This window comes from Homo sapiens, chromosome 10, assembly GCF_000001405.40.
Source record: "Homo sapiens chromosome 10, GRCh38.p14 Primary Assembly".
NCBI lineage: Eukaryota > Metazoa > Chordata > Mammalia > Primates > Hominidae > Homo > Homo sapiens.
The window spans coordinates 98602427-98628033 of NC_000010.11; the positions used below are offsets into that span (position 1 = coordinate 98602427).

Genomic DNA, 25607 nt, shown 5'->3' on the forward strand with positions numbered 1-25607 from the left:
GTCACACCACTCAAAACTGAAAGTAGTAACTAAACCAGTCTTGAAAAAGAACATATTCATTTTTGCAGTTACTCACACTTTCCAATTTCAAAGTTTAATACAAAACTACAGTAATCAAGAGATTATGGTATTGGCCATAATCTCTTGATTACTGTACATATACATATATGTATAAAGGTAGACATAAAGATCTATGGAATAAAATTGAAAGTCCAGAAATAAACCCTTACATATGTGGTCACTTAATTTTCAATAAAAGTGCCAAGATGATTAAATGGGAAAAGAATAGTCTTTTCAACAAATGGTATTGGGACAACTGTATCTACATGCAAAAGAATGATGTTGAATCTCTACCTCATATCATGTACAAAAATTAACTCAAATGGACCAAAGACCTAAAGATAGGAGAGCTACAACTATACAAATTCTTAGAAGAAAAAATAGGAGTAGATCTTTGTGGCCTTGAATTGAACACCAAAAGTACAAATGACCAAAAAATAGATAAATTAGAGTTCATCAAAATTAAAACCTTTTGTGCTTAAAAGGACACCATCAAGAAAATAAAAAGACAACACACAGATTATTGGACTTCTGGTTTCCACTTCCATATATGAGGAGTTTAGAAGTCACCATTCCTTCTGAACAATAAATAAAAAGCTGAACAGTCTGAAAAATCAACAATTTTTCTTGGATCCATTAGAGAGGTGAGGACACAGGGCAAACCACTGCCCCCAAAATTGGAGAGACAGACAGACAAATACAGGGAGTCATGGCATACTGCAGCAGACAACCTGAACTGTGACTGTGCTGGAGGCTCAGTGTGGACAAGTTTGAGAGTTTGCAACTCCCGGAGGACTCAGTCATTGGGAAAACCCCCATATTTTTGTGAGTTTTACCTCCAGGAGCTCAACCAGGATCTCACAGCAAATACTGGGCAAAAATTCTTCATGCTTTCAGTAGGGGTAAGGGGAAAGGAACTATTTTGAAATACGCCAGAGCACTCTGTTTTTTTGTTTTTTTTTTTGACAGAGTCTTGCTCTGTCGCCAGGCTGGAGTACAGTGGCTTGATCTTGGCTTAGTGCAACCTCCGCCTCCCAGGTTCAAGCAATTCTCCTGCCACAGCCTCCCGAGTAGCTGGGACTACAGGCACACACCACCATGCCAGGCTAATTTTTTGTATTTTAGTAGTAACGGGGTTTCACCATGTTGGGCAGGATGGTCTCTATCTCCTGACCTCGTGATCTGCCCACCTTGGCCTCCCAAAGTGCTGGGATTACAGGTGTGAGCCACCGTGCCTGGCCTCTGTTCTTAGCAAGTTCTGCCCTCAGGAGAAACTAGTTAACCATAGCCTAATAATACCCTGTTGGGGTATTATCAGAGCCTAACTGACCTAAGTGAAAGGAAATACCCAACTCCAGTCAGCTCTAGCCTTCCATGCAGGAGAAGGGAAATACCAACTCCAGCCCACTCTAGCCATCCTGTTCCACCAAAAGAGGGAAGAAAAATACTGAAAAACACTTGTGAAGTTCACAGTCCAAAGGCACAGGCTCACAAAAAGTCTGAGACCTAATCATAGGACTATAGGATGCTTCCTCTCCCCCCATACCTTACCACCGTATTACTAAAGGCTTATTTACAATTGTTCTTTTTACCTGATACATCACAGCTATCCAGATAAATTACAAGGCACACTTAAAGGGAAAAAACACAGTTTGAAGAAACAGAGCAAACATTAGACATGGCAGGGATGCTGAAATTATCTGAACAGGAATTAAAAACAGCTATTATTAATATGCTAAAGGCTCTAATGGACAAAGCAAATAGTATGCAAAAGCAGATGAGCAATGCAAGCAGAGAGATGGATATCCTAAGAAAGAACTAAAAAAAAAAAATGCTAGAGATCAGAAATACTATAACACAAATGAAGAATGCCCTTGATAAGATTATTAGTAGACTGGACATGGCTGAGGAAATAATCTCTGAATTTGAGGATATATCAATAGAAATCTCCCAAATTGAACAGCAAAGTGAATAAAGACTGATTAAAACAGGGCAGCATATCAGAGGACTGTGGGACAACTACAAAAGGTGTAACAAACTAGAAGGAGAAGAAAGAGAAAGGAATCGAAGAAATAATTGAAACAATAATGACTGAGAATTTAGTAGTAGATGGACCCCAACAATTCTAATAACAAAAGACAGTCGTAAGTACTATAACAGGGCTACAGGAGCCTTGAAGAAAAAAGCTTTATTTCCTGAATGGTTTCAAAGGGAAGCAGTGCAGTTTTATTTTAAAAGATTTTATTAATTTAGGTTCAGCTGGGAGGTCCATCTGAAGATAGTGGTATGGAAATAACATATTGAAATGAATCAGAAAACTTCAGAGCTGAAGGGAAACTCAGATTGTCCAATTCAACCTCTACATTAGAGACAGACCCAGAGCGCCCAGTGCCCTACAATGAGTGAGTTGGTGTCAGAATGTGGAATCAGATCCAGAACTCCTGGTCTTCCAGTAGGTGAGCCTTCTATCCCAAGGCCTTCCTGCCTTCCTGCTGTCACTTCATTATGGTGCCCTGGGGTAAGGAGCCTTCTCAGGAACATGTATTATTTGGGTAACTAATATTACAAATATCTGCCAATGACGTCTTGTTGCACAGTCTTTCCAAGTCTTCCCTTTAGCTCCTCCCTTCCAGCCAGTAGTAATATCTCCTACCTCAGACATCTAAAAAATCTATTGTCTACTGATCATTTGGATCCTTTCCTCCCTGTCTTATTTTCACAAATATTTATCAAGTACTTCCTATGCAAGGCACCTTATGTTAGGCTCTGGGGATAATGAGTGAACAAGACAGAATTTAACATACACATCCATCATCTATTAACTCTCTCCAAGGCTTTATGCCACCCAACACAGATTGTAAACATGGAGAGAAGGAATCTAACATTATTTTTTATGTTCTACAGAAACTAAAACAGTGCTTTGTTTTAGTGTATGTCATAAGGTTCTCGAACAAAGATATTAAAAAGAATTATCAGTGAAATTTGTAAAGATACTAAAAAACGGAATAGTATAATAAACCACCAAATGTTCTGCCATTCTCGTTTCAAAGTCTGATGACAGGTGACAGAGAGTGTAAATGGGGATGGTTGGGCCAGTGACAGGGAAACTCTAGGCACCAAGTTCAGTCGGGGATCCCAGATAAAGGGCCAGGCAGTGAGATACACCACTATTATTTGTATGAAGGGCAATAAACAGGAAGCAATGAAGTTTGCCAAGTGCTGGTGGCAAGGGCAGGATAGAGCATCAGGTGCAGGGAGCTTGAGCTAAACTTTGCTGAGCAGTGCTGCCTGCCTCTGTGCCTGGCAGTGGGTGGACCATACCTCAGGTTGGTCTTAGGGACACTGTGTGACCTCTGATGTGTGACTGAGCGTCTTTCCCCCACTGCAGCCTTTGCAGATGCTGTTCCTGTTGAGCGATGCTCTGCTCTTCCACCAGCCTCTCTAATGGCTGCCTCTTCAGTGAAGACCTCCTTAGCCACACTTTCTAAAGAAGCCTCCCCTCCTCATTATTCAACTTAGCAACTGCTTCCTACACAGCATTCAGAATTTTGTAATTAATTGTTAGTTTACTTGTTTATTTTTAGTCTCCCCTTCTAGACTGTAACCTCCAGTGAGGACAGGGATCTTGTCTTTCCCCTTCACCTCCATTTCATCAGAATCTACAAGTGTCTGGCACATACTAGGTACTCAATAAATAGTTGTCAAATGAATGAATGATAGACAGTACTAAATATTTTGTTAATATCTCAAAAATTGAAGCAAGAGTTGAGTACAGAGGAGTAGAGAAAAATAAAAAGGTAGTTAATTTAATTAGGGCAATGTAAACCTCTAATACAGTTCTCAATTCTGGCTTCACGTTGAATCACTTGGACTTTAAAAAAATATCAACACCTGGGATCCTCTACGGATCAACTTGAACAGGAATCTCTGGGGTTGGTGCCTAAGCACAGGTATTTTTAAGAAGCTCCCGAGGTGACTATAATGTTCAGCCAGGCTTGAGAACCACTGCTCTAACAAAGAAAGGCTATAAGGATTGTGACAACAAGACGAGGGTGAATTTTAGAATAGAAGGCAGGTCTTCTGCCGTCAAATTTAGGGTAAATAAAAATGGTGTGTTCTATTGAATCCTTTCAATGCTTAAAACCAAATCAAGGATGAAATAAGCAGAGATTGATAATAATTGAAAGTTAGTAAGTGAGGTATCTAATGACTGACAGATTTTTTTAAAAAAATGTTATAGTGTAGTACATTTAAATAAGAATTAAAAAGCAGAATTTATTTTTATTTGTTCTATTTTTTAATAAAGACTTTTGCTTTTATTTAAACAAGCACAAAACCATAATTGAGTTAGAAAAAAACATAACGTATTATCTTGGTTCTATCAGCGGCTTATTTTTTGGTTCCTACAGGTCACAACCAGACATCGTTGTGCCCTTAATGTTTGCCAATATAGTCTTTAAGATGAAATATTCTTAAATTTGTCATATCGTGGCATTCACAAAAGTGCCTTCCAACCTAGCAAAGGACATTTCTTTTTTTCCTCTTCCTGCTTTCCTTTCTTTTTCTTTCTCCCTCCCTCCCTCCCTCCCTCTCTCCCTCCCTCCCTCCCTCTCTCCCTCCCTCTCTTTCTTCTCAGGTCATTTTTAGATAATTGTTTAGTGTTTTCAGTGAGCTGATGAGGTTAGGTGAGTGCAGTTCTTCTCATTCCAGAGCTGACCTTGCTCCTCGCTGTCTGCACGTTGCTTCAAGGATGGCAAATCATGTTCCTAAACTCAAGTGCAGCAAGACTATAATTGCTTCTTCTCCCTAATTTATTTAGGAGGCCACACAATTTGCTGTAGCTGTAATCCCTCAGTATTGCAATCTGGGAACAATATAAATGGCTGATGGCAGAGTGGGATTTTCAATTGTTGCTTCTCAGTGATTCACATAATGTGCTGTCATTAGCACTTTGATGTCACATATCATGGTTTCCAGGGCTTATTGGGCCATTTATAAATACCAAATGAAGGTGCTGGGGCTAGTATTGCAGCCTGGTTACTGCCTTAATTGCCTTCACTGGGAAAGCTTGCCAGCATCTTCTCCGGAGGGAAATAAAATGTAATTTTTAGTTTGTCTTTAACCTTTGCAGTCAATTCCTCTCAAGTGAAGGAATCATAGTTTTCCTTTTTTGTTCTTCTCGTTTTCTAGTTAAGTTGCTAGAAAATTATAAAAAGTTAAATTACTTTTACCAAAAAATCTACTTTTCATCCTTTAGTCATCATTGCTTGAATTGATTTCCAGATATCTAAATATCAAATGTATGTCAACTACATATCAAATGTATATTAGGTATCAAATGCATCAAATATATATCAAATACATATCAAATATATATTTGATAACAAATGTTTATTATCTTACCACAGTTATATTCAGGTTATTAATGATAATTATTGTGACTTATAGAATTTTAACAAAGTGACTTTATAAATAATAATAGTGATTAACATTTATTGAGTATTTACTATGTGGTAAAAGATACATATTCATTGGCTCGTTTAATCTTTCCAACAACCCTCTGAGGTAGACACTATTATTGTCTCCATTTTATGAGAGGAAATTGATATTTATTGATGCTTATAAATCCAAGGACATATAGCTAGTAAGTGGTAGAGCTGGTTTTGAAACTCAGGTCAGTCAGATTCCAAAGCCAATACTTTTAAGCAGTACATTCAAATACTTCCCTGTCTCTAACACCAGCACAGTTAGCCCCATTTCACAGAGGAAGAAATGAAGACTCATGTAACTAGAAAATTGTGGTGTGCATTTTGAGCTTGCACCTTCTGATTTTAGGTCTAGAGCGCTTTCTGTTTCCCAAGGGGGCTTGCATCGGCGTGAGCTGTTGCAACTGCTAGTGTTGTTGCCGACATCCTGTGCACACCGCTCAGGCTGATAAATAAGCAAGGGAGAACTCCTAGTAGAAAATCAGAGGAACGTCTACGTGAAAGCATTAGGGGCAAAAGAACTGCCTTCCTGTCAGATAGTGCAGAGCACAGGCTCTGATTTGAGCAGCCAGGGTTTAAAGACACAGAGGAGAAAAGAAGCAAGTCATGTTCCCTGGGCATGCAGCCCAGGCACTTCGGCCACTGACGTGGAGCCAGCCTGAGTCTCAGTGATTGATCCTGCAGCCAAGGATGCCCTTCTCTCAGCAGCCGCAGGTTCCCACAAAGGAAGGCTGCACATGGTGAAATCTTTGTCAGGGCCCCTAATGGGAGCATTGGGTTTCACATCACAGCTACCCCTAAACAGGTACACTCTGCTTCTTTCATCTTCCTGATGGCTCCCACGGGAAAGAAAAGAAAGAGAAAGGCGGCTTCACCAAGAAACAGGTCACAGGCTGGTTTGGCTGGGTTTTGTGCCTCCCCCGCCCTACCACCTCCAGGTCTGTAGCTTTGAAATTCTTTAATTTTCATACACCCTGTGTGGCCACTGGACAGCAATGGGAAAAGTTTTCTTAATTTTTCCTAATCCATCTAACATGATTCACTGGAAAATTAATGCCTCTGTACTTTAAATATACTACTGCTTCTGTTTGGAAGCTCCTCCCCAGACCCCAAACTCTTCTTCCTATGGCTAACTGGCCCTTTTTAAAGATTCAGCTCAGGCATTGTTTCCTCCAGAAAGCCTTCCTTGATGCCCCATGCCTGTCCTCCACCCAGTATGACTTCTGTACTCCTCTTCTAATACACTATAGGGCTTCTGTTACAGTCCCTGCTAACTTGTCTATCTCCCTATCTCTACTGTAAGCTCCTTGAGGGCAGGACAGTATCTCTAGTGTCTAGCATAGTATCTAGCACATAGCATGAATGCAATAAGTGTTTACGAATAAGTGAAACATGAATAATAAGTGAACATTTGCATAGTTATTTAAACACAATCCTTTTGAAATACTCTTTTTTCTTTGAAAAATAGGCCTTCTTTAAGATCTTAAAAGCAATAATGCTGATTGCAGCAATTTTCCATACAAAAAATTCACGTAAGAAAATAAAAACTGCCTGTAATCTTACCACCCAAAGAAAACCACTTTTAACATTTAGATGTAGTCCCCTTCTGTAATTTTCTACATGTATGTATATATACCAAATCAGAATCCTATTTTTATACCTAATTTGCTCAAAGATTGTAACAGTAACTTCTGGAGGTAGAGGTGGCATTTTTATTCCAATTTAAGTGATGGGAAAACTGGAATACCAAGATACACATCTAATTAATGGCAGAGCTAGGACTAGAACTCATGAATCTTACCATAGTTCCAGGCTCCTGCTGTTTCCTATGATGCCTTCTAATTAGGTGGTGTTCTTCTTCTTCTTCTTTTTTTTTTTTTTTTTTTTGAGACAGAGTCTCACTCTGTCGCCCAGGCTGGAGTGCAGTGGCACGATCTCAGCTCACTGCAACCTCCACCTCCAAGATTCAAGTGATTCTCCTGCCTCAGCCTCTCGAGCAGCTAGGACTACAGGTGCCCGCCACCATGCCTGGCTAGTTTTTTGTATTTTTACTAGAGACGGGGTTTCACTATGTTAGCCAGGATGGTCTCAATCCCCTGACCTCGTGATCCGCCCGCCTTGGCCTCCTAAAGTGCTGGGATTACAGGCGTGAGCCATTGTGCCTGGCCTCAGGTGGTGTTCTTGTATCAATCCAGCATCAATGGAACATGGGTTTGTAACTGGGTGTCCTTGCTCTACACAGGGAGAGATTTAAGCCCTGTGTCCACACCATAGCTTGGCAGTGCATACTCGGCATTGTCTCTAACACTTTGGAGGGAAACAAGGATGGAGCATCTAGGATCTTGTCCTAGGATCTTGTGATAGGCTCATCAACTGTGCTAGGCAGGCACCAGTAAGAGTTAGAGTTTCCTTCTGATGGTCAAATGACATCTGAACAGCGATGGCTTGGCTCAGAGCATGTTGCTATGGGAACTGCAACCACAGGTTCAATCTCACCATAGACTAGTGAATTGTACTCCAATCCATGACCAATGACTATACTCCAGAACAATGTGCACAGCAGGCACTCAATAAGTGTGCACTGGGCTGAAATGAATGTATATGATTCATCAGGGAAAGTAGGCAAAAAAGCATGCTGGCAGTAAATTTCCATACCACTGTGCCCACTGTGGAAAAGGCAATCCAATGTGATCTAGCTTTTTATTTTATTCCAAATAGAGGACTAAATTGTAGTCCCACAAACACATATCAGATTATTAGTTCCATAGATGAATTTATGTGCATGTCCCTAGAATGTCAAGCATGAAGCCAGACACAACCGAGGTGTCCATGCTTTTTGAATTGAATTGTGTGAAGACAGCCTGGTGTGGGAGTTAAGAAGATGTCGACTAGTAATTCACCATTCCTTTCCCTGAAAGCTCTGTAAATCAAGCTCTTAAAAAAAGCAGCAAGCTAAATTCCAAAACCCTCTCTGAGGAGAAATGCCCATGACTGGTGGGGTCTGGACTATGTCCACCAAATGTGCAGATCTCTTCTGCACAAACATCGCCTACTCCCAAGGGAGCCCGTGACTGACTGACCAGCTGTGGAGACTCACACGTCCCCATTTTCCCAGTGTTGGGGGGGGCCAGGGGAAGGGAGTGGGAGTCGAGTGATGAAGCATGGCTGAACTAAATATTCTCCTCCCAGGAGAAGGAAAATGTCATAGCAGGAGGTGGGTGGCACTTTTCTGGAGGAATAACCATGAAGAACATGGGGTATATTTGAAAATGATCTTTTCTAAGGACAAGTTTCTCTTCTAAAGAGCTATCCTCATATTCTCTCTTACCTTAGATTGGGGCTGTTGAAATGGTCCTGCCAGAGCTAGGCTAGAATGCCACAAACTGGGATTAAAGTTGACTGGGCAGGGGGAGGGGTAAAATGGGATATGGGTTGAAGAGCCATAAGGCCAGGATGTTCACTTTTCTCAATTTATTCAAAAGCACTAGTTTTGGGAGGCAAAATGCAACTCACTAATCCCCTAAGCGCTTAACAAACTCTCTTGAAGATTTAATCACAATGTAAAATCCACAAGTTTTTATTGGCAGTGTTTAGTTATCAATTGCACAACTCTCTGAAGTGGCAACCAGTACGATTCCCAGGTCTGTCTCCATTACACATTCCAGGGGCCTGCTGGCAATGTGTGTCAGATTGGTGTTCTGGTCTAGCCTTGTAAATTCCTTCCAGGGGAGACTTAGGACACACTCTCCCAGCTGCCAAGTTCTCTACTTATAAGGTGCAGAATTTATTAGTGCAAAGAAAGATAAAAAGAAAGCCTGCTACCTTTTTAAGTGCTTTTACATACAGTTTCTTTATTACAGCTTGGTGTTTCCAGAAATACAGCTGCCCAGATCATTTGAGTCTTTGTGCTGAATCAGTGGAACTTGTTTTCTCTTCCTATGAACTTCTATGAGCTCTGCTCCACCATGTATCAACTGAGGTCTTTTGTGCCATGCTTTTAAAGAAAGTCACTGACAGCAACTCTTATTTGAGGAGGACAAAGCCATGAGGACTGACATCCTTAACTTACACATGGCCATGCAAAGGTCCAAAGAGGGTTGATATGGAATCCAAGTTTGTCCAACTCTGGAAATGAAGCCTGTCTAGTCACCCAAAGACCATCTTTTTCCAGCCTGTTTTCTTCTCTCCAATTTCTCAACATGCCTGTTTTCATTTCCAGAGTCAATTCTAAGGCAATGTTGGCCTCAGACACAGAAAAGACATCAAAGAGGCTACCATAAGAAACAGTGTAGTCCAGTGAAAAGAAAACACAATTTAGAACTGGAAAACTCTGAGTTCCAGTTTTCTTACTACTCGTCTGACCTTGGATAAGTCACTCAATAATGTCACAGAACCTTAGTTTCTCTTTAGCAAAATTAGTATAAATAGTCATATTCATCTCACCAGGTTCTTTTTAGAGCAATTATGACAAATTGCAATTCTCTGATTTATGTTTATTTATTTTCCATTTCTCAGTACAGTTCACTACATTGTAAACTCCAAGAGTTCAGCAACCTTGTCTTTTTGGTTCCCCACAGTGGCCTATTGCCAGGAATAGCAATCAGCACATAGTACATGATCAAGAAGAGTGAATGAAATTTGAATGAGTGATGAAAGGAATAAAGGAAAAAAGGAAAGAAAGGAAAAAGAAGGACAGAGGGAAGTGTTCAGAGCATTGTAGATGCCATTTATGAAAGTGAACTGTACATTGTTAAGTATTATCTGCATCTTTTATAACTAACATTTAATGCGTGAATTATGCCAAGGTGATCTGTTTAAAATGTAAGTTAGATCAGGTTACTTCCCTAATTAGGCCTTCCAGTGGCTTTTCATACTATCTACAGGTCAACTCCTTTCAGCTTACAAAGCCCTAGGTGATATGACTCCTGCCTACCTCATTTCCAACCTCTCCCCCTTCCTCATCATGCCCCGGTCACCCTAGTGTTCTTGTGTTTCCGCAAACGTGCCAAGTTTGTTCCTGCCTCGGAGCTTTTGTGTTAGTTTCTTCCCAGGCCTGGAAAGTTCTTTTGTGAAATCTGCATAGCTGGCTCTTTACTGTCATTGGCTCTTGGCTTACATGTCACCTTCTCAGAGAAGCCTTTCCTGCACATGTACCCTGAAGGGCCCAAGCAGTGCTCTCTTATTTGTTGATTCACTTATCTATTACTAGTCCTCTCCAGTGCCTGATGTTCAAAAAATATTTATTTCTGTGTGCCATTATATTTGTTTAGTGCTTACATTTCATAGATACTTTTCTAATTATTTTATTTCTGCAAAAACAAAACAAAACAATCCTCTATGGTTCCATGCTGAAAACTCTCTTTTACCCCTCTCCACCCCAGTCTCCCACACATGTATCTTGGGAGAGGTACACTAGTCCGGCAAATGTAAGCAATTATGCTAGTTAGTTTTACTCTTTGTGATTTAATTGTACTTTTGGAGTCATGTACACCAAGTGATACAACAATTACTTGGTTGTAATTGAGACGTGGAACTGGTGCTGTGGGTGCTGAGCTGTTCTCTGCTCTGGGCTTGGAAGCTTCCTGGCTTAGGGCTTGGGGAATGGAGGGAGTGGTAGAAATAGGCAGAGAGAGGCAAGTGGTAGGAATGCTCACTGGTTCCAGTTTGGGTTTGTTTATTGTGGGCCCCAGGGCAACAAATAGTTCTGTAGAAAGAGCACTGAACCAAGGCACAGGAACAGGTTCTAGGGCTAGCCCTACATGTCCCACCTCCTTGCCCCTCCCCTAGCTAGCAGTCCCTCAGTTAAATGAGGTGGAATTGGATCATCTCAAGGAGGGATCCCAGCTCTGAAATTCTATGACTTGATGAGAGCAGTCTGATCTTTTGTCATGACCATGACTTCTGTGATAAAGGATAACCCGTGTAATATTTCTGATAAGCGTAGCTTTTCTGGTCCATGGAATTTCTCTGATTGGCCAATAAGGTGACTAGACAAACCCATATTTCTGCTTTTGCCATTCTAGTTTATTTTTCTCTTTCCTTTTCTTTCCTAGATAAGTTGACGCTCTTGGTAAATCCCCTCATTGTCACACGGGGCTCATCATCTAACTGTAATTGCACTTCAGCCACTCCTCAAGAGATGGGTTCCTAGTGTGTCTGATCTTGGATAACACTCCCCCATCTGCTTTCAACATGTTGCATTTGATGTTAACTAATGTCTCCTATTAGCATTAAAATAAAACAATCTGGAAAAATTCACTCTCAAGCAGAGTTCAAACAGGCCACAAGTAGATGGGGAATCTCAACTGCACAAGGATTGTTTTGTTTTTTTTTTTTTTGAGACGGAGTCTCGCTCAGTCGCCCAGGCTGGAGTGCAGTGGCACCATCTCGGCTCACTGCAAGCTCTGCCTCTCGGGTTCATGCCATTCTCCTGCTTCAGCCTCCCAAGTAGCTGGGACCACAGGTGCCCGCCATCACACACAGCTAATTTTTTGTATTTTTAGTGGAGACGGGGTTTCACCATGTTAGCCAGGATGGGCTCGATCTCCTGACCTCGTGATCCACCCGCCTTGGCCTCCCAAAGTGCTGAGATTACAGGCGTGAGCCACCGTGCCCGGCCTGGATTGTTAAAACAATAGTAATAAATATACAAATATATATAAATGAATATATGTATATTGCATACTGCACATACATATGTATGTGTATATATAAAAGTGAGTGAACAGATGTGTGTGTGTGTGTGTGTGTGTGTTGAAGCCAAAAGTCTGTAAAACGGATCAAGGGAACAAAGACAGGAATGTTTCTGTTCAATGAATGAAATTAACTGGTAACAGCAAGAGGAAAAATATTCTCCTAGTATGGAACAAGGCATGATCAAAAGAACTGAATGACATGGAAAAGGGATTGGGAATCTTTATCCCACACTTACTGGTAATGGGTTAAAATTCTGGTCCACGAGGTGATTGTATCCATGGTCAAAAAATGAGTGCCGTATCACGACATCAATGCCCTGATTGGCCAGCATTCCTAAAGTGTTCAACCATCTAAAAGGCAGAGAAAAAGAGCTACATCAATATATTTTTTAAATGGCATATAACAAGCTCTATAGAGACTGGCTACTATATACACATATACACCAATCTCCAGTCACCAAATTTACCTAGTACTTTAAAAAGGGTTATTTTAAGCATTAAGTTCACAGCTGTAATATATTTTAGAGATTATCAAATCCAACCTCTTCATTTGATAGAAAAAGAAACAGAGGTCTAGAGGAGTAAAATGAACTGCCCTTGATCATTAAATAGTTTGTTGTGAATGACTTAACTTTTTATTCCTGAAATACTAACAAATGAACACCCTAGCCATTTGTAAGCCTAATATCCCTCCTGGCCAGAGGACATACAATTACAGAAGAGCGCACATTGTGCATTCCATCCCTCAAACTCCCCTGCTTATACCCTGTCCCTGAATATGTACCTTTAACAGAACTCTAACTCATATACTCCTATGACCTATGCAAATATAGTCTAGTCATTAGCAACCCTCATATATCACTGTCAGTAGTCAATGCAATAATAATTTTCCTTGGCACTATAAGTAACTATTCAGGGATTCAAGTATGCCACCATCACACATATTTTGCAGTGGAGGACCTGCACTGTTCACATACTTATCATCTATCCTACTATGCCAAACACCTATTTTCCAGGGCATGCCATCCTTCAAAAATACTGCCCTCTTAGTTCTTCCAACACTGCTAACTCTGCCTTCATTATTTACACATTCATGCATTCATTTGGGCTTCTCTTTCTCTTCCTAATTCTGAAACTTAGGGAAACTTCTACTTGTAATAATACATAGAATAAATGTGACTTAGAGATTCAGTCTTCTCTATATGAAAGATAAGGCATTTCACAACTTGTCCTAAACATGTGTGTGTCCAGCTTTATCTGTCACCTCTTCCCCATCTTCTCTCACCCTAGACCCCATTTCCCACAGGCTCCAAGACACATGAAACTACTCTTGGCTACCCAAATACACATTGCTTTCTCACACTTACCCAAGTCCTTATACATGTTTTAACTTCTGCTTAGAATTCCCTTCTACTCTTCTTTGAACCTACCCCTTTTCATCTGGCAGATTTCTTCTCATATATTAATCTCCAAATCACGTGTCATTTTATTCTAAACTCTGCTGCCCCAGCCAACAGTGGTACCTTCCTCTGTACTTCCCCAGATCTCTTATTCATACCCTCAGAAAGTCCACAGAAAGAATCACTTAACTTATTTCTCCACCTTTCCTCTGTCAGTTCTGAGTTCATCAAGCATAGACACAATGTCTGAACTTGTACCGCAAACACCCATCACCATTCCTGGCACACCGTAGGTACTCAATACTCTGTTGACTTGAAATCTGTCTGGATAAAATTAGATTCTCGGAACTTTGAGAATCACCATTCAGCACACTGGGGAAAATTACGCATAGTTATGATTTCCTAAATCTGAAGCCATATGGAGCTCCAAACCCGTGACTTGAAGAATTAAGTTTTTTCCTTGCTGGAATAAAGAGCACTGCTAATTTTTATATTGTGAATAAATATTATTCCTATATTTAAATGTTTTTTACATTTACAATTATATTTTATTCTCAAAAAAACTAACAAATATTTACTGACAATTAGAGTTATAAAAATAAAACAAAACAAAAAGCAAAGCAAAACACAAAAGTTTTAAATCAAAAGGGAAATCTGACTGTAATATAGTAGAATCATTTTTGTTGTTGTTCTTCAAATTGGAACATTGTGACCCAGGGAATTGAAATTACTTTTGGAACATGACATGGCTAAGCAAGCTACTTGCCTTCATAATTTTTATTAATTTGGTAATCCTATAAAATCAAGATAACAGGTTTAGCTTTTCCTTTAGCCACTGAGACATACTATGAAATACCTTGTCAAAGGCTGTCCTGTGGTAGAACTATAACATGAATTGTGGGCTAACGCCTCCTAAGTAGTGTTCTTTCTGTATTGAAATGGCACAAATACAATAGGGTCTATATCTAACAAGTATTTTAAAAGCAAATTGTCTTATTCAACTTTCCATCCCTATGCTTGTCAAACGAAGGAAGAAACAAAACAATGAAGAAACACATAATCACATATGTGAGTCCCTCCATCTAGCAGCATCTTCATGTCAATACAGGGCTCTATCTTGGTGTTTTTATATGTGAAAAGATCCTACTTGTTTACTCATTCATTATTTATTCAATAACATTAGTCAATGCTAAATGCTAGGCATTGTTTTCAGAATTGAGAAGATATTAAAAAACGCTTGTGTGACCATGTAAATGCCTGTGTATACATATTTAAAAGAATCATATCAAATGTCTACTTTTGACCTCTACAGAGCTTAGCTTAGTGACCTGCATAGAGTATATACTCAACAAATAAATATCAATTCATAAACCTGATGTTTTTACTAGTGTATAGGAAGATATTTAAGAAATTAAGAATATGCATTCTCCCTGCAAACCTACATCCCTATATGCATATGCAAGATCTGGAGCATTCAAAAATGGCTAGAACCAGAACTACTGCTTTCCCATGGCTTTAGGAATAGAATGGTTAACATGAAAGTTATCTTCATCTTCCTCCTATAATAACAAGACCCCTCAGAGAGGGAAAGCAATGGTCTTCCCATTCTATGCTTAGCTACAGACAGTTGATAAAATGACTGGTATATCTAACCAAAGATGCTACCCTGCCATTATTTTCCACTCCACTAAAGGTGAATATCTACTATGTACCAGACACTATTAGGTGCTTGAGACACAGCAGCATACCAAGAGTATTTGTGGTCCACCAAAGAATCTCAAAGCCCTAGCTGGGAAACTCTACTTTTGAACACTCGGTAGCAGAGAATCCCAATTTATGCATACGTGCATGTATATGTCCTGGTGAACTCAGAGTTACGTGATATATAAACATTTCAAAAAGGCTGGAAAAATGCCGTCTTTTCAATTTCTTAATAGCCTCCTACAGCTTCCTAGAATGCTTTACTGCTCCCCTACTCCCCCCCGCCACGACAGGAAGCAATTTATGCCCCTTGGAGAACTGAACTCAAAGGGCACATTGCTGGGTGCTGTCAGTGGAGTTGAGACCAAATGGGTGACAAAGAGGTAAGAGAGATGGGGAGCAGAATAAACTAGTTTTCATCAGATCTGTGTCAACTAAGCATTGGATATCTGAATTACAGCCAGAATATAAACAACTATGTTGATCTGTGTTCTGCAAAGTGACTGTAGGAATCTATGGCTATTTGGCTGATGCTCATGAAAAGGCAGTTCTCTTTTCCAACTTCCTCCATGAAGGTCTGCAGTATTTCTCATTTCATATCATTCCCTAAAGGGAAGAATGCTCACAAAACCACTCAGTACAACTGGGCTGCTTGCTGGGCCCTGCAGCAGCGTCCTATAGTGAGTGCTGAGCAAATGCCATTCCTCTGCTGATTCCAAGGGGGTCCCTGCAGCATTGACACCCTGGCTTCTCACTCTTTCAACAGGTCTCATATCAAGCCAGTGGAGAGTGGGAGTGTACTTTTGTGGGGTTTTATCTGGGGGGCATGGGGGAGGGACGGAGTCTTGCTCTGTTGCCCAGGCTGGAATGCGGTCTCAGCTCACTGCAACCTCTGCTACCCAGATTCAAGCAATTCTCCCGCCTCAGCCTCCCAAGTAGCTGGGACTACAGGCGCATGCCACCATGCCCGGCTAAGTTTTGTATGTTTAGTAAAGATGGGGTTTCACCATGTTGGCCAGGCTGGTCTCAAACTCCTGACCTCAAGTGATCTGTCCACTTTGGCCTCCCAAAGTGCTGGGATTACAGGCGTGAGCCACGGTGCCTGGCTGGGAGTGTACTTTTGAAAGAAGATTCTTAACCACACTATATCAAAGGTGACTCACTCCACTTCATGCATTTGAACCACGCTTGCTGACATTGTCTGTGCTACACAACGTTAGATGCTGAGGACACAGAAATGGAAGACCCAAGGTATCACTGTGAATTACACTGAATCATTTTCTTCATCTGCGTTTGCCAGAACTCCATCTGTAAAGGCAATCCACTTGACTGGCCTGATTTGTCCTTCATTAATGTATTAAAGAAGCTGCCTCTATGCAGGGGAATGGAAGCTGCATAATTAAGAACAGCTGTTAGTAGCAAAACACATAGCTGAGGGCAAAGCTATGGTTCTTAGGAGGACATTGCTCAGTCAAAAATCCAAGGCCATAGGACTGTACTGGAGCAGGAACAAGTCATTTACTTAGTGATCCTGAGGGGTTTGTCCCTGCCACATGACACTGGCAGGCTAATGAGAGGCCCTTATGCTTCTGGCTTAAGTCATTCTCCAGACGACTGTAGTAGCCTTCAAATTCATTTTCCCATTCCTTCCCAACTCTTGTGACTACCATTGATAAAGTCAAAGTTTTAAAACACAAGTCAGATTCTCCAGATTTTTTTTCTCTCTCTCTGTCTCTCTCCTTCACAATCTTCAGTGGCTTGCTGTGAATATAGAACAAGGCCTCACTTCCTCTACCGGGTTTTTAAGACCTTCTGTAATTTGGTGGTAAACCCTTTCCTGAGTCTCAGTCCTCATTGCATCCTCACAGATAACAAGGCTTTAGTCACATTAGTCATTCTCTGCTCCTCTGTGCCTTTGCTCATAATGTCCCTTGGGCCTAGAAGGCTCTCCTCTGTCATCACCATGACTCCCACCTATAGAAATTAGAGTAATCCTACTATGCTTCACTCAAATGCCACTTCCTCCATGAAGTCCTCCCTGATACTCCCAGTCACAGAAATACTTCATTCCTTTGCATGTCTGTCATTTTTCTTTTGTAGACAGACCATGTGAGGAAGAAAGGCAGGTGGTCTACTGCAGTGGTAAAGAAGCTGTACTCTGGAGCAAACTGCCTGGGTTTGAGTCCAAGCTGTGCCACTAACTAAATGAGTGATCTTGAATAAGTTACTTCACCTCTTTCAGTTTTCTCATCCGTAAATGGGATAATAACAGCATCTATTTCACTAAATTGTTATAAAAGCAGTAGCATCGATTTCATTGGTTGTTAAATTATGAAATATAAATAAAGCACTTCAGACAGCGGTAAGCACCGTATCATTAAAAGTATGATTACTACAGCACTTACCTCCTACAGCTTTACAATGTAGTTATCTCCTATCCCAGTTCCATCAATCATATTTTTTTCTGGAGGGAAAAAACCATGCCTTATTGTTACCTATCTCCCAAGACTATAGTGAAAATTGGCTTAGAAAATGTATGTTGTTTACACTGTGTTTTGAACTTTAGACATTCAATAAAGCTGTTATTACTATAATTATTACTGTTACTACTATTACTATAATCTTTGCTCTGATGCCTGTGCCTGACATTTTAATATCTAGAGAAGGTGTTGATCATTGTTGAATGGTTTAAGACACACATGAATGAATGAAATGAACTTTCAACGGGAAACATGCCTCACCCCTAGGATGGGCAGAATAATCAGCAACACCAGAGATTCACTGTCCTTCCCTCCTGAAAGCCCCTGGGGGTGAACTTGCAGGTGTTACTCACAAGAATCCTGCAGCATAGGAATCGGATAGATTGTTTGTGCCTCCAGCTGAGGTGGTCACCACACCTTCAAGCCAAATCTTCTTTCCTGGAGTGTATGTATTAACCACCTGTTTACACAACAAAAGCAGAAGGGGATAACGAGGTTTTAAAAGCTATTCCCACATGAGAAGAAACACACATTCCCTTAAGGAAGTTGATCTGATTTCCTGTTTTCAGGGGGTCATGATTTGTGCTTTCTTATGATGATGCACCCAGTTCAGTGAGTTGGCATTCACAAACCAAAATGCATTAACATTGACACATATCCACTTAAAGAAATTATCATTTTTCCCTAAGTAAACCCAAGTGATAATGTGACAGAACAAGTGCATACTCTAGGATGTAAACTGACTGCAGTACTTTCCACTAAAAAATATAAATCATATTGTGTTTCCATATCAACAAGCATTGAGAAACAATGCTTTTCAGTCTCTCTTATAGCACATCTATGACACACGTACTCCCTAAAAGCCATGAATGCAACACAAGCATCAAAAGCCACAAATCACAAGAAGGTAGAGAGAATGCTCGTGGGAGATTTATTTTATAATTACTAGTCCAGGTATATTGTAATCACACTTTGAAAATAACTGCAGTAAGGGTAAAAAGAAAAGTCACTGGCCCACAAATGACGCATCCCACACAGGGAATAATTGCATGCCTTCCAAGCAGAAGCAAAACTTCCTGTCGAAAGGTGGCACACTGAAGATTTGAAATGGCCTAGTCTCTGACCCACAAGATGAAGACTGACCAAACTATTCAGATCAGTGTGCAGATGCTTGGGGCTGCAATCGGCACTTAGGAGTAAGATTGTATACTGGGTAGCCCCTAAAAGCAGAACCTGAGTCAAAGGCTTGTTTATAGGTAGTTCACTCAAGAAATAATACCAAGGAGCAGGAATGAGGGACTGGGGGACTGAAATAGGGAAGAAGGGAAAACTAAGACAAGGATGCATTTTCAAATTGACAACCATTGCTGGCAAAAACTCAGTCTCACAGGGATCTTGGTAAGAGCCTTACAGACTGTGTCTCAGAACTGACCCCCAAGGGGATACAAGGGAAAGCATGAGTAGCCTTGTGACCATTAACCCCTTGCCCCTCTATCCCTATTTCATGTGCAGGCCTGAGTGCTGAGCAGATTCTCTGAGTGTTCCTCATCTCTGCCTCAGAGAAGGAAATAAGAAGTGAGGTACTACGTAGTACACTGACACCTAGCTGGCTGCAGCCTGCATGCTGGCCCAGCCCTGATCTCTACAATGATGGCTAGAGTAGGAGGTGGGACTGGGAGGATGCCAGCTATGCACTAATGAGGCTGGATAAAGAAAATAGTGTATTTAGGTCCTATGGCCCCCCAGCTACTCTCCTAGACATACACACCAAAGAAATTCTTCTTCAGGTCTCTAAAGAGGTAAGAATGAGAATTCTTTCTATGTCACTGTAGCAGATGTCCACTGCTAGAAGAATGGAAAAATAAAATGTGGATATACACTATACAATATTATGCAGCAGTTAAAACAATAAAGTCAATGTAAATCCAACATCATGAATAGTCTTTAAAGGTTTAGTGTTAAATTAAAAAAAAACACACTGAGTGAGATTTATGGCACAATATTACTTATAAAATTGCTCATTCACACCTAATAACACTAAATACCCTATAATGACACATGCCTCTTAAGAACATATATCAAACACATAAGGAAAGATTATATAAGAGAGAGGTGAAAATTAAAACAAAAACAAGACCTTTCATGAACTGATGATAATAGTTTGCTGTTAGTTTAGGAGTATTACGTTAATTTAATTCTCTGCACCTGAGGGCCTTCAAAAAGAAAAAATATATGTGCCAAACCCATGGGTACATAGACATCAACAATCAATCATATTCCTCTTTTCATTTCTAGTGAGGTACAGCTCCCTGTCCTCTCTCCCCACATTTGCTAGAGAATTTGCATTATTTGGAACATATTTTGGGTTGGCAAAGTTACTGACCCTTTTCAGAAACAAAGTTGTAAGAAAATTACACAAATTTGAGATTAAAGTGAGTATTATGATCATAAATGGAAGAAAAATCCTGAGAATTAACGGTGGTGGTCAATAGCATGTTGGTAAAGATTAAGTAAAAATTCACTTTTATACACAAAAAAAGAAGAGTCGTTTGAGGATACCACTAGGTAGTCCTCTCACCCCTTTCAATACTGTTCATGCCCAACTCAAGGGAAGCAGGGAATTGTAGGAACAAGAAAGTAAGAAAAATGCCTTAAATAATCAAAAGACACATCCATATGGCCAGATTAAAGGACTACATCTATGATTTCCCTTAAAATATAGTGCTAAAAAAATCTGTGTACATGATAAACTATGCACTTCCTTTATAAGTAACCAGAGCAGAGTAATATATTTGTGTTTTTCTTTTTTTTTGTCTTTGGCTTACAGGATATTTAATGTTTAATTTTGTGCTCTAAGATAGATTTAAAGGCAGTTAGAGAAAGGAGCTTTGGTTAAACAAAACAAAAAGGTAAATACTTTAACATAAATGAACCTTGAAAACATTAAGCTAAGTGAAAGAAGCCAGACACAGAAGGCCGCATATGATATGGTTCTATTTATATGAAATGTTCGGAATAGGCAAATTCATAGAGACAATAAGTAGACTAATGGTTTCCTAGGGTTGAAGAAGAAGAGGAAGTTTAAGATGGGAGGGGGAAAGGAGAGTGATTGCTAATCAGTATGAGGTTTCTTTTGGAGGAGATGAACATGTTCTAAAATTAGATTGTGGAGATGATTTCAAAATTCTGTGACTATATTAAAAACCACTGAATTTCATACTTTCAAAGGGTGAATTTTATGCTATGTGAATTATATCTCAGTAAATAAATACGTGTAAAAGAACACATTAACAAAAGGAGAGGTATAGTCTAAGTAGGCAAATAACCATAATGTGGAAACAAGAATGTACCCTGGAAATTCTGGGTTATGCTACATGCTAGTTGTGACACTTGTAGCAGTTATTATCTTGGACTTCAATATCTTCATCCACATTTAAAGTCATGAATTTGTAGTAGATGAACTCTAAGTTCTTTTTAAATATAAATGTTAAAATGTGTTAGTATTTTATAATGCTAATGTAGATTTCCTTGGTTATCACCCAAAGGTCTAGAGTATCTTTGATTCTGAAATTTAAAACAACAAGTATGGGAAATGAAAAAAAAAGTCAAACACAGCTCAGAGTTGGTCATCTCAGAAACAAAGATCTGGGCTGGAGGAAAACGCTGAGAAAGGTAGAAAAATCCACAGGAGTAAATGAAATTGCCTAGGGAGAATATATAAACATGAGGCTAGAAAGGGCTAAGGATTTCCCATCTAAAAACATTAATGCATTATCAAGGGCATTAACTAATTCATTCAACAAATATTTATTGAGCACCTACTATATGCCAAGCAGAGTTCTAGTGGTGGGTCTATAGCAATGAAGCATAACAAGTTTTTGTTCTTGTTGTCTTACATTTTAGTCAAGGGAAGGAGAATAATAATAAACAAGTAAACAAATAAAAGAAATTTAGATAATAATAAGTGATGGAAGAAAACAAAACAGAGTAACACGGTAGAGAGCAATTTGACAAGAGGGTAAGGTCAGTACTTTAGATAGCGGTCAGAGGGGGCTCATGTGGAAGGTGGTATCTGAACTGAGAACTGAGTGAAGAAGCCAGCCTCTTAATGGATCTAGAAGAACCGCACAGAAAAAGGACCTCAGGTGGAAATAGGTCTGCTGTTTTTAGAACCAAAAGAAGACTATCTGGAGTGTAGAAAGTAAGGGAGTGAAATATTTAAAAATGAGGTCAGAGAAGAAAGGAGTATTTTTATTCTGAGTGTGATGGAAAGCTATTGGAGGGATTTAACCAAGAAAGTGATCTGATCTGACTTATGTAAAGATCCCTGCAGCTGCTATGAGATCATATATACATAATGAAACTGTATCATGATACAGTTATTTGTATATCATTTTAATTGTAAAATGATAAAAACTGTAAAATGATATACAAATTAAAGTTTTATTATTTTATAACCACTTCGAGCTTCAATTTCCTCACATGTAAGCTGGAATAATACCTGATAGGATTGTGTTAAGGATCTTTCCTTGTCAAAGGCCAAAGACACATACACTAGGCCAATCACAGGAAGATCCTGAGAGTTAGTGAAAAGGAGCACAGAACTAGCAGATAAACATTTATGTGGGTCCTTCTACGGTGATGCATGAATTCAGAGGAACTAGTGCCAATTATTCTTACGGTTTGGTGGTAGGATTCTGAACTACCATTTTCGATCCAAGTAAGAAATTCAGGAAATTTCCTAGAAACCTTGAACCATTAGCTCTTTGAAGGCAGGGAATACTTTTATTCACTTTTGTATTTACTTCCTATCAGAATGCCTGGCACAGAGTAAGTGCTTCACAGGAGACTGTGTGTAACACAAAGAAGTTAATGCAATTCCATACCTGCCCTTGCACAAGCTTACAGTAAACTGCTACTCCTTAAGGAAGTCATGTGACCTGATAAAGGGCGACTAAAACCTGATCAAAGAATTGGAAGCAATATGCTGACTGCAAAAACGACCTTAGAGATCAGGAAAAACATAAAATGAAAACCTATTACAACATGAAAGATCTAGAGAAGAGCAACATGCTTATTTGCCAAATCTCAGGATATCAGGCCTGGGGTTTTCTCCTTGATCTGAGAAGGAAAAGGAAAATTGTGCTTTGCTTAGCAGGTAATTTATGTATGGAATCCAATAACCTCAGAAGTGTTAAAGGTCAATTACCATACAAGGTGATTTGGATACCAGAAGGATTTTATGTGTTATCAAGCTCGTTATAATATTCTGATATTAAGAAAAGAAACAATCATGTATTTCCACATTTATCACTTGAGGATGTTTGCTGTAAGTACAATAAGTCTTCACTTAAAGTCATCAATAGGTCCTTGGAAACGGCAACTTTAAGCAAAAGAACGTATAATATAACCAATGTTGCTATAGGCTAAATGATACTAATAAGAATTAAGTTCCTATGACATATTTCTGGTCACAAAAACATCACCGAATTTCTAAATAAAGACCCCAAAACTTTTCATACTAATCACTGAAATAAGTGTGATCTATATACACATTTAAAACACATGAATAGGCCGGGCGTGGTGGCTCACACCTGTAATCCCAGCACTTTGGGAGGCCGAGGTGGGCGGATCTCAAGGTCAAGAGATAGAGACCAGCCTGGCTAACACGGTGAAACCCCGTTTCTACTAAAAATGCAAAAACAAAATTAGCTGGGTGTGGTGGCGGGTGCCTGTAGTTCCAGCTACTTGGGAGCCTGAGGCGGAAGAACTGCGTGAACCTGGGAGGAGGAGCTTGCAGTGAGCCGAGATCGCACCACTACACTCCAGCCTGGGCGACAGAGCGAGACTCCGTCTCAAAAAAAAAAAAGAAAAAGAAAAAAGAAAAAAGATGAATAAAAACAAGTAAGAAAATTACTTACCCAATTTTTGGTGAATCAGTGAGTGGCGGTAGTCATGGAGGTGGGGGGTTAAATCAAGGAATTTGTTTGCAAAGCAAAAAGGAGCACCTCCTACCACCAGGAAGTTCAAAAACAATCACAAATATGACAGACTTGTTGTGTGCTTTAGTGCCACATCGTTTATTGTACATTTGTATAATTATTGTAGACTTTACAAATTTTTATTTTACAATAATTTTTATTCATTCATTCATTTATTTTCCAACCCGCTTATACCAGTTCAGGGTTGAGAGTAGCCAGAGCCTATCTCAGAGGCTCAGAGTGCAAGGTGAGAACCAGCCATGGACAGGTTACCATTCCATTGCAGGGCCACTCATACCCACGCCCATACTCACTTGGACAGGGACCATTTAGACACCCAAGAAACCTAATGCAGTCTACATATTTGCAGGAGTATCCGGAGAAAACCCAAACAGACAGTGGCCCCAGCTGGGAATTGATTTTTTTTCCATCAATATTATAATAAAATGATGTTAAATGAAATGAAATTATTCAAGAACCTACTGTACTTAGTTGGATGGTGGCATGCCCAACTCAGAGGGGTGATTTGTATGAGATATTATTTTTCTTTTTTTTTTTCTCAAGACGGAGTCTCGCTCTGTTGCCCAGGCTGGAGTGCACTGGTGCAATCTCGGCTCACTTGCAAGCTCCCCCTCCTGGGTTCACGCCATTCTCCTGCTTCAGCCTCCTGAGTAGCTGAGACTACAGGTGCCCACCACCACGCCCAGCTAATTTTTTGTATTTTTAGTAGAGATGGGGTTTCACCGTGTTAGCCAGGACGGTCTCAATCTCCTGACGTCGTGATCCGCCCACCTCAGCCTCTCAAAGTGCTGGGATTACAGGCATGAGCCACCGCACCCGGCCGAGATGATTATTTTTCAAAAGGAGTTCAAACTCTAGCTCCTTTAAGTGAGGACTTGATTCCAGAAAACGGTTGGATTTATAAAATACTGTGTCTACAAGACCCTTCAAGGACATAGACTCTGTGTAAATAAAAGTTACGCCTGTAGCCCTACTACTTGGGAGGCTGAGGTAGGAGGATCACTTGAGGCCAGGAGTTTGAGACCAGCCTGGGCAACACAGCTAAATTCCTTGTCTCAAAAAAGAAAAACAAAAAATTAGCCAATCATGGTGGCTTGTGCCTGTAGTCCCAGCTACTCAGGAGGCTGAGGCAGGAGGCAGTGAGTTTTGTTCACACTACTGCACTCCAGCCTGCATGAGAGTCTCTTAAAAAATAAAAAATAAAAAAGTTAATCAGAATTCTCTTCTGACTTGCAGGGAGATTTGAAAGGAAACAATCTAAAATTGAGGAACAGTTAGGGGCATGGACTCTGGAGATGGATTGCCTGCATTTGAATTCTGGTTCTATTATTTACTTACTGCATGACTTTGAATGAGTTGTATTACCTGTCTGTGTTTCAATTTTCTCAGCTGTAAAATCAGAATCATATCTGCCTTAGAGGATTTTATGATATTTAAATTATATAATATTTATAAAGCAGTTGAAGTAGTGTCTGGCATATAGTAAGCACTTAGAGGTGTAAACCAAAATATTACCTAGACCACTCTCCTTGTCCAAGGCACATAAGCTTGTGTTTGAATGAATAACATCAGAGTTGGTTGTTTTTCCTTCAGACGTAGGACTTGTGGTGATAGGTAATAGCCCAGATGCATGCTAAGCAGCAGGAAAGGCCAGTTTAGAATTTAAAATGCACATGGATAACTCACACAAACATAATTATCATTCAGAGTAGTTCATTTATCCATTCTCAGCACAGGGGTAATTCCTGTCAAGCCACATGAACAAATATACACAGTGAGGAAC

At 39.9% G+C, this 25607-nt stretch overlaps 1 protein-coding gene across 13 annotated transcripts in view; it reads right to left on the minus strand.

Moving 5' to 3' along the window:
* Positions 1 to 25607, minus strand: part of HPSE2 (heparanase 2 (inactive)) — an 858875-nt gene that overhangs the window by 145350 nt on the left and 687918 nt on the right. For 12 of the 13 annotated variants that reach the window (XM_047425614.1, NM_001166245.1, XM_011540030.2 and 9 more), the window contains 2 exons: positions 18176 to 18282; positions 12478 to 12592 (listed from right to left, as the gene is read on the minus strand). In XM_047425614.1, the coding sequence (XP_047281570.1) occupies positions 12478 to 12592; positions 18176 to 18282 (222 nt within the window). Of the gene's footprint in view, positions 1 to 12477; positions 12593 to 18175; positions 18283 to 25339; positions 25458 to 25607 lie in introns of those variants that run through there. The other variant, XM_017016496.3, reaches the window with a different exon arrangement.